Source organism: Homo sapiens, chromosome 11, assembly GCF_000001405.40.
Source record: "Homo sapiens chromosome 11, GRCh38.p14 Primary Assembly".
Lineage (NCBI taxonomy): Eukaryota > Metazoa > Chordata > Mammalia > Primates > Hominidae > Homo > Homo sapiens.
Genome location: NC_000011.10, coordinates 67,716,342 through 67,724,343, shown reverse-complemented (window position 1 = coordinate 67,724,343; position 8,002 = coordinate 67,716,342). Strand labels below are relative to the sequence as shown.

Sequence of the window (8,002 nt, the reverse complement as noted above, 5' to 3'; positions counted from 1 at the left end):
CTGTCAGGAGCAATATCCCCCCAGGATATCAAAAATCCTATCACAGGGTGTCTAATCTCTGCCTTCCAGGTTCTAAGGGATTCTCCTGATTCAGCCTCCCGAGTAGCTAGGGTTAGCCGCCACCACACCCGGCTAATTTTTTTTAATTTTCACTGGAGATGGGGTTTCACCACGTTGGCCAGGCTGGTCTGGAACTCCTGACCTCAGGTGATGCATCAGCCTCGGCCGCCCAAAGTGCTGGGATTACAGGTGTGAGCCATGGTGCTGGGCCAAGAGTTATAGATTCAATTCATTTGGAAACACAGCTCCCATCTTTGAGTGTGCATGTACTTTTATGAAGAAATGATGTCAGAAAACCGAAGGATGATAATAAATATGAAAAGTAACAGGCATGGGAAAAGGTCTTCCGATTGAGAACTATAAGGTTCGATGTCGTTTTCAGATAATGGGGTCCTAGCTCTTGTGTCGTCCTTTTACATATTCTACATCAATGGAAGTTGTAGCACGGGTCCGAATAAAGTAGAGAGTATTTCATGGCTTCTTAATTCCTTTCAATTAGACTGAGATGTTTCTCTTAAAGAGAGAAGGACATTGTCATTGCATTGTATTTTTTCTGAAAAGAGTAGGCCGTATTTTACTGAGATCACTGATTTGTTATATATGATGTTTTGGTCTTCTAATATTCTTCAGTGGATTTTCTCTAAAGTAGTATGTACAGAAAGCTTTGTATAGCAAAAAAGTAAATCACATAATAATTCTGAGATTTTTGGAATTGTCACAACTGAGAAACATTGCTAGCGGTGTATGTCCGCAAGTGTGAAGATGTTCCTTGTGAATTGCTTGCATCCAGCATTAAGGGCTGGTTTTTATCTGTTATTTTTCCAATCCTCTTTCCTTCTCAAGGTGTCCAAGACACACAGGGCCACGGAATCTCACAGGTGTCCGAGAATTCCTCCTCCTGGGACTCTCAGAGGACCCAGAACTGCAGCTTATCCTCACTTTGCTGTCCCTGTCCCTGTCCATGTATCTGGTCACGGTGCTGAGGAACCTGCTCAGCATCCTGGCTGTCAGCTCTGACTCCCCCCTCCACACCCCCATGTACTTCTTCCTCTCCAAGCTGTGCTGGGCTGACATCGGTTTCACCTCGGCCACGGTTCCCAAGATGATTGTGGACATGCAGTCACATAGCAGAGTCATCTCTCATGCGGGCTGCCTGACGCAGATATCTTTCTTGGTCCTTTTTGCATGTATAGAAGGCATGCTCCTGACTGTGATGGCCTATGACTACTTTGTAGCCATCTGTCGTCCTCTGCACTACCCAGTCATTGTGAATCCTCAGCTCTGTGTCTTCTTCTTTTTGGTGTCCTTTTTCCTTAGCTTGTTGGATTCCCAGCTGCACAGTTGGATTGTGTTACAATTCACCATCATCAAGAATGTGGAAATCTCTAATTTTGTCTGTGACCCCTCTCAACTTCTCAAACTTGCCTGTTCTGACAGCGTCATCAATAGCATATTCATATATTTCGATAGTACTATGTTTGGTTTTCTTCCCATTCCAGGGATCCTTTTGTCTTACTATAAAATCATCCCCTCCATTCTAAGGATTTCATCATCAGATGGGAAGTATAAAGCCTTCTTCACCTGTGGCTCTCACCTAGCAGCTGTTTGCTGATTTTATGGAACAGGCATTGGTGTGTACCTGACTTCAGCTGTGTCAGCACCCCCCAGGAATGGTGTGATGGTGTCAGTGATGTACGCTGTGGTCACCCCCATGCTGAACCTTTTCATCTACAGCCTGAGAAACAGGGACATACAAAGTGCCCTGCGGAGGCTGCACAGCAGAGCAGTCAAATCTCATGATCTGTTCCATCCTTTTTCTTGTGTGGGTGAGAAAGGGCAACCACATTAAATCTCTACATCTGCAAATCCTGCCCCTTAGTCACATTATTTTTGTGGCTTGATGGCTTTTATTCCTTTCCGCATTTCCTTTGTGAATATTGCTTTCTTTGTTATGCCTTTCACTGGAATGGGTGAGGATTCTGGGACCCTTTGTTTAGCAGAAACCTCATGACTGAATCCTCTATACCTAGGCGGCCTCTTTTAGTTTCTGAGCAATAACCCTGTCATCCAGGTGGAATCACAACCATCTTTTTATATACATGAAGTCCTCACTTCGTTTTGGAATTCCCTGAAAACTGACTTTATGGAAACAATGTACAGGAGGTCCTCCAACACCATTGGTTGTTCAAAGTTGTGTAGTTATACTGTTGATGAAAAATAAGTGGTTTCACTATACATAATTTTGCTTCAAGGTGAAGTTTCCAAGAGACTTTCAAAGATGTTAAGTGAGGACATACCGTACATCAAATTCATATCCTCTTCCGCAGTTCTTGCGGAATTTCTTTATAAACTGCTTCTAGAGAATCTATTTAGGCAGGTTATGTAGAGAGATCCATGTCGCCGTTCCTCAATCTTGGCTTTGAGTCAAATCACCTGGGGAGCTTACAAATGATGAGGCCTGGGTCTCAATACCTGAGATTCTGATTTCCTTGCACCTGTGTGAGTATGTGGATTTTTTTTTTTTTTTTCTTTTAAAGCACCAGAGGTGGTTCCAATGACGAAGTTTTTAGGGGCATCAAGCTCCAATGAGTAAGAACAGAAATTTATTGTAATATAATATCTTCAAATATTATCTTCAAATGCATTGTCCATCAACACCATACAAATGTTTATTATGCTGTTTTTTCTTACCATTTCGCATTTTCTATTTCTTTCTTTTCCTTTTTGTTTGAGTCAGAGTTTCACTCTTGTTGCCCAGGCTGGAGTTCAATGGCATGGTCTCGGCTCACTGCAACCTCTCCCTCCCGTATTCAAGCAATTCTCCTGTCTCAGCCTTCCAAGTACCTGGGATTACAGGCATGCGCTACCATGCCTGGCTAATTTTTTTTTTTTTTTTTGTATTGTTAATAGGGACAGTGTTTCTCCATTTTGGTCAGGCTGGTCTTGAACTCCCGACCTCAGGTGATCCGCCCACTTCCGCCCCCCAAAGTGCTGGGATTACAGGCATGAGCGACCGCACCCAGCCACCACTTAGCATTTACATTTTACATCTGTTGAAGTTATAGATTTATACACACATTGATTGCTGCTTTGTTATACACTTGCATATACATAAGATGGGAAATAGTAAAGAATAAAATGGGCACAGTATCCCTGAAGTTTCACATCCCGAGACATTTTAAAAATATTTGCTCTTCAGAAATTTGTTTCAATGAAGAAACTGTGGTATACACACCCAGTGAAGTATTATTCATCCAAAAAAGGAAGAAACTCCTCTCCGCTGCAGACAAAATGGATGAGATTGCAGGTCTGTATATTAAATGAAAGAAGCCAGGCACAGAATGACAAATATTTCATGTCCTCACTTCTATGTAGGAAGAAAAAAGGAAACCTTGGCCAGGTGCGGTGGCTCAGGCCTGTAATCCCAGCACTCTGGGAGGCCAAGTCGCACGGATCACTTGAGTCCAGGAGTTCGAGATCCACCTGGCCAACATGGTGAAACCCCGTCTCTACGGAAAACACAAACAATGAGCCGGGCGTGGTGACGCGTGCCTGTAGTCTCAGCTACTCAGAGGGCTGAGGCCCAAGAAGCGCTTGAACTCGGGAGGCGGAGCTTGCAGTGAGCCCGGATTGTGTCTGCGTACTCCAACCTGGGCAACAGTAAGAGACTCCATCACACACCTACACACAAAAGGAATCTCAAGAAGGTGGAAAGTATAAAGGTGGTTAGCAGACACTAGGAAGAAAAGGGGTGGGATAGGGAATGAAGACAAGTGGATAATTGGGTCCCAAAATACAGAAAGATGGAATAAGTGTGTTCTAGTGTTTGATAGTACAGTATGAAAATTTTAGTTCACAAGAATTGCTTGCATATTTCCAGATGCTTTGGTAAGAAACTTCCTAACTTTCTCATTGTACTGGTTTTTAAGCTCTTCTCTTTCTGCTCTTGAAATTATGCTGGGTTTTTTTGTTTGTTTGTTTTGAGATGGAGTTTCACTCTTGTTGCCCAGGCTAGAGTGTCATGGTGCAATCTTGGCTCACCGCAACCTCTGCCTCCTGGGTTCAAACGATTCTCCTGCCTCCATCTCCTGAGTAGCTGGGATTACAGGCATGTGCCAGCACGCCCAGCTAATGTTGTATTTCTAGTAGAGATGGGGGTTTCTCCCTGTCGGTCAGGCTGGTCTTCAACTCCTGACCTCAGGTGATCTGCCCGCCTTGGCCTCCCAAAGTGCTGGGATTACAGGTGTGAGTGACAGCGCCCGGCCCATGCTGTATCCTTATCTGTTGTCTGTTGTCGTTTGTTTGTTTTGGAGCCCAGAAAAAACTTCTCACCTATATGTTCAAATGATTTTTCACATGAGTGCTAAGAAAGCTCATTGGTGGAAAAGAAGCCTTTTCAAGAAATGGTGTTGGAGAAACTTGATTTCCACATGCAGAAGAATGAAGGTGGACCCTATGTCACACCAGGTGCAAAAATTAACACAAACTGGATCAAAGACCTCACCCCAAGCACTAAAAGTATCATACACCTAAAAGAAAACATTGGTCACGCTTTCATGACATCAGATTGGGCAATGTTCTCTGGGATATGACACCAAAAGCATAGGCAACAAAAGAAAATTAGATTCCTTGGATGACATCTAAATGACAGACACTTTTGTGCAGCAAAAAACACTGTGAACTGAGTGAAAAGATAACCCATGGATTAGGAAAAATATTTGCAAAGCATATATCTGAAAAGAGGCTGATATCCATCATATATAAAGAACAGCTAGAACTAAACAACAAGAAACCCAAAGCATCCCATCAACAATGGTCAGAAGACTCGAGTAGACGTGTTCCTAAAGAAGATATAGCAATGGCCAATAAGCATCGAAAATGATGTTCAAAATCACTCATCATAGGGAAGTGCAAATCAAACCAAGAATGTGATACCACACATTAGGATGGATATGATAAACAAACAAGCATTGGTGAGACTAGAGGGAAGTAGGAATGCTCGAATATGATCGGAGGGAATGTAAAACCGTGAAGGAACGGGGAAAATAGTATGGCGTCTACTGGAAAAATTAGAAACAGAATGATCAGATGTTCCCACAGTTGCATTTGTGGGTAGCTACCAAAAAGAATTAGAAGCCAGGAGTGGAAGACAGATTTGTGTACACCCATATTCATAGCAGCAGTATTCACAACAGCCAAAATGTGGAAGCAACCCAAGGGTTCGTGGACAGATGAATGAAAAAGCACACTGCAGTTCCTTCATACAATGGAAGACTATTCAGCCTTAATAGTCTTCCAGAAGGCAGGCACTTCTGGCAGGTGCGGTGGCTCACACCTGTAATCGCAGCGTCTTGGAAGACCGAGGTGGGCAGATCACCTGAGGTCAGGAATTCAAGACCAGCCTGGCCATCTTGGTGAAACCCTGTCTCTACTGAAAATGCAAAAAATGAGACGAGCGTGGTGGCATGTGCCTGTAGTCCCAACTACTCGGGAGGCTGAGGAACATGAATGGTTGGAACCAGGGAGGCGGAGGTTGCAGTGAGCCCAGATTGTGCCACTGCACTCCAGCCTGTGCGACAGAGTGAGACTCCATGGAAACACAAAACAAAACAAAGTCAAACGAACAAACAAACAAAAAAAACAAAAAACAGAGACGCACTTCTGAGGCAGGCCGCAACATGGATGAACCTTGAAAACATTATCGTCAGTGAAATAAATAAATCCCAAAAGGATAAACACGCCCAGGCTCAGTGGCTCACACCTGTAACCCCAGCACTTTGGGAGGCTGAGCCAGGTGGATCACTTAAGGTCAGGAGTTCGAGACCAGCCTGGCCAATATGGTCCCTATTAAAAATACAAAAATTAGCTGGGCGTGGTGGCGCACGCCTGTAATCCCAGCTACTCCAGAGACTGAGACACAAGAATCGCTTGAACCCACGATGTGGAGGTTGCAGTGAGGCGACATCACGCCACTGCACTCCAGCCGGGGTGACAGAAAAAGACTCTGTTTCCAAAACAATAAAACACAGTTTGATTCCACTTATCTATCAAGTGTCTAGAGTAGTTAAATTCATAGAGTTGCAAACTAGAAAGGTGGCCTCCAGGGGTGGGCGAGAGAGAGGAGTGGAGAGCTTGGTGAATGGGTGCAATTTACATTTTGAAAGATAAAACTGTGTTGGAGACGATGGCAGTGATGGTTGGTAAACAATGTGAACGTACTTAATGTCATGAAACTGTAAACTGAAAAAGCATGGAAATTATAAATGTTTATACCGGCCATTCTATATGAACTAATATATATTTATAATTTTAAATATTTATGCGTGGTATATTTTCCCTTAATAAAAGATGAAAATTAAAGCAGTTGGATGTTTAAAAAGAAAAGAAAGAAGCAAAGAATACACACCAGCTTTCTCCTGATTAGAGGAAGAGCCCCAAAGCTTCTATGGACACTCACTTTTCTCTTCTTCTTGCATTATTATGAGGAAATCCTTAGAGGTTGGGGAACTTGGGTGACTTTGTCTAATAAGGAGCTCTGTGCCTTGAGCCCCCCAGGCCACAGAATAGTAAATAGTCAGTCTGTGCCTCCAGCCCTACAGTGTGAGGTTCCAGTCCTGTGGGCTCCACTTCCGTCACCTGTATCAGGAGGCTCACATCTCACCCTGTCTTCTTGCCAGCCTTGAGGATGGAGTCTGAGCCTCCATGGTGCACCACAGAAGGAGGACACTGGACCTGTTCTCCGTGGTCATGGCCCAGCAGAGGGGAAGGGCAGTTCAGTGAGTGTAGGGAAAAGAAAGAGAGATCAGACTCTTACTGTGTCTATGTAGAAAGGAAAGACATAAGAGACTCCATTTTGAGAAAGACCTGTACTTTCAACAATTTCTTTGCTGAGATGTTGTTAATGTGTAGCTTTGCCCCAGCCACTTCGACCCAACCTGAAGCTCACAAAAACATGTGTTGTATGAAATCAAGGTTTAAGGGATCTAGGGCTGTGCAGGACGTGCCTTGTTAACAAGATGTTTCCAAGCAGTATACTTGGTAAAAGTCATTGCCATTCTCTAGTCTCAATAAACCAGGGGCACAATACACTGTGGAAAGCCGCAGGGAGCCCTGCCCTTGAAAGCGGCGTATTGTCCAAGGTTTCTCCCCATAGTTAGTCTGAAAAGTGGCCTCGTGGGAGGAGAAAGACCTGACCGTCCACGAGCCTGACACCAGTAAAGGGTCTGTGCTGAGGTGGATTAGTCAAAGAGGAAATCCTCTTGCAGTTGAGAGAGAGGAAGGCCGCTGTCTCCTGCCTGCCCCTGGGAACTGAATGTCTCGGTATAAAACCCGATTGTACATTTGCTCAATTCTGAGATGGGGGAAAAACCGCCCTATGGTGGGAGGCGAGACATGTTTGCAGCAATGCTGCCTTGTTATTCTTTACTTCACTGAGATGTTTGGGTGGAGAGAAACATCAATCTGGCTTACGCACACGTCCAGTCATAGTACCTTCCCGTGAACTTCATTATGACATAGATTCTATTGCTCACATCTTCGTTGCTGACCTTCTCCTTATTATCACCCTGCCCTCCTACTACATTCCTTTTTGCTAAAATAATAAAAATAATCATCAATAAAAACTGAGGGAACTCAGAGGCCTGTGCCAGTGCAGGTCCTTGGTATGCTGAGCGCCGGTCCCCTGGGCTCACTGTTGTTTCTCCATACTTTGTCTCTGTGTCTTATTTCTTTTCTCAGTCTCTTCCCACCCAACTAGAAATACCCACAGGTGTGGAGGGACGGACCACCCCTTCAAGTGAGTGCTGAGGGACGGTCGGGAGCCTTGTTTGGTTTCCTCCTCTTCAGGACAAACAGGAGAGTGCGCTGGGCAGATGGGAGGAGACCAATGTGCAAACTATCCGCTCAGCAGAGTGTGGAGTTTCTGTTCCTGGTTGTGCTGGGG

General features: G+C 44.4%; 1 pseudogene, besides 1 other annotated feature; it reads left to right on the top strand.

Moving 5' to 3' along the window:
* On the top strand, window positions 860-1,885 carry OR7E145P (olfactory receptor family 7 subfamily E member 145 pseudogene; annotated as a pseudogene).
* Window positions 5,901-6,432: an enhancer, noted in NCBI's record as "NANOG hESC enhancer chr11:67485383-67485914 (GRCh37/hg19 assembly coordinates)". NCBI's record gives its function as "activates a minimal SCP1, AML or CMV promoter by ChIP-STARR-seq in naive H9 embryonic stem cells {active_cell/tissue: H9 hESC(naive)}" and the evidence as "EXISTENCE:reporter gene assay evidence [ECO:0000049][PMID:30033119]".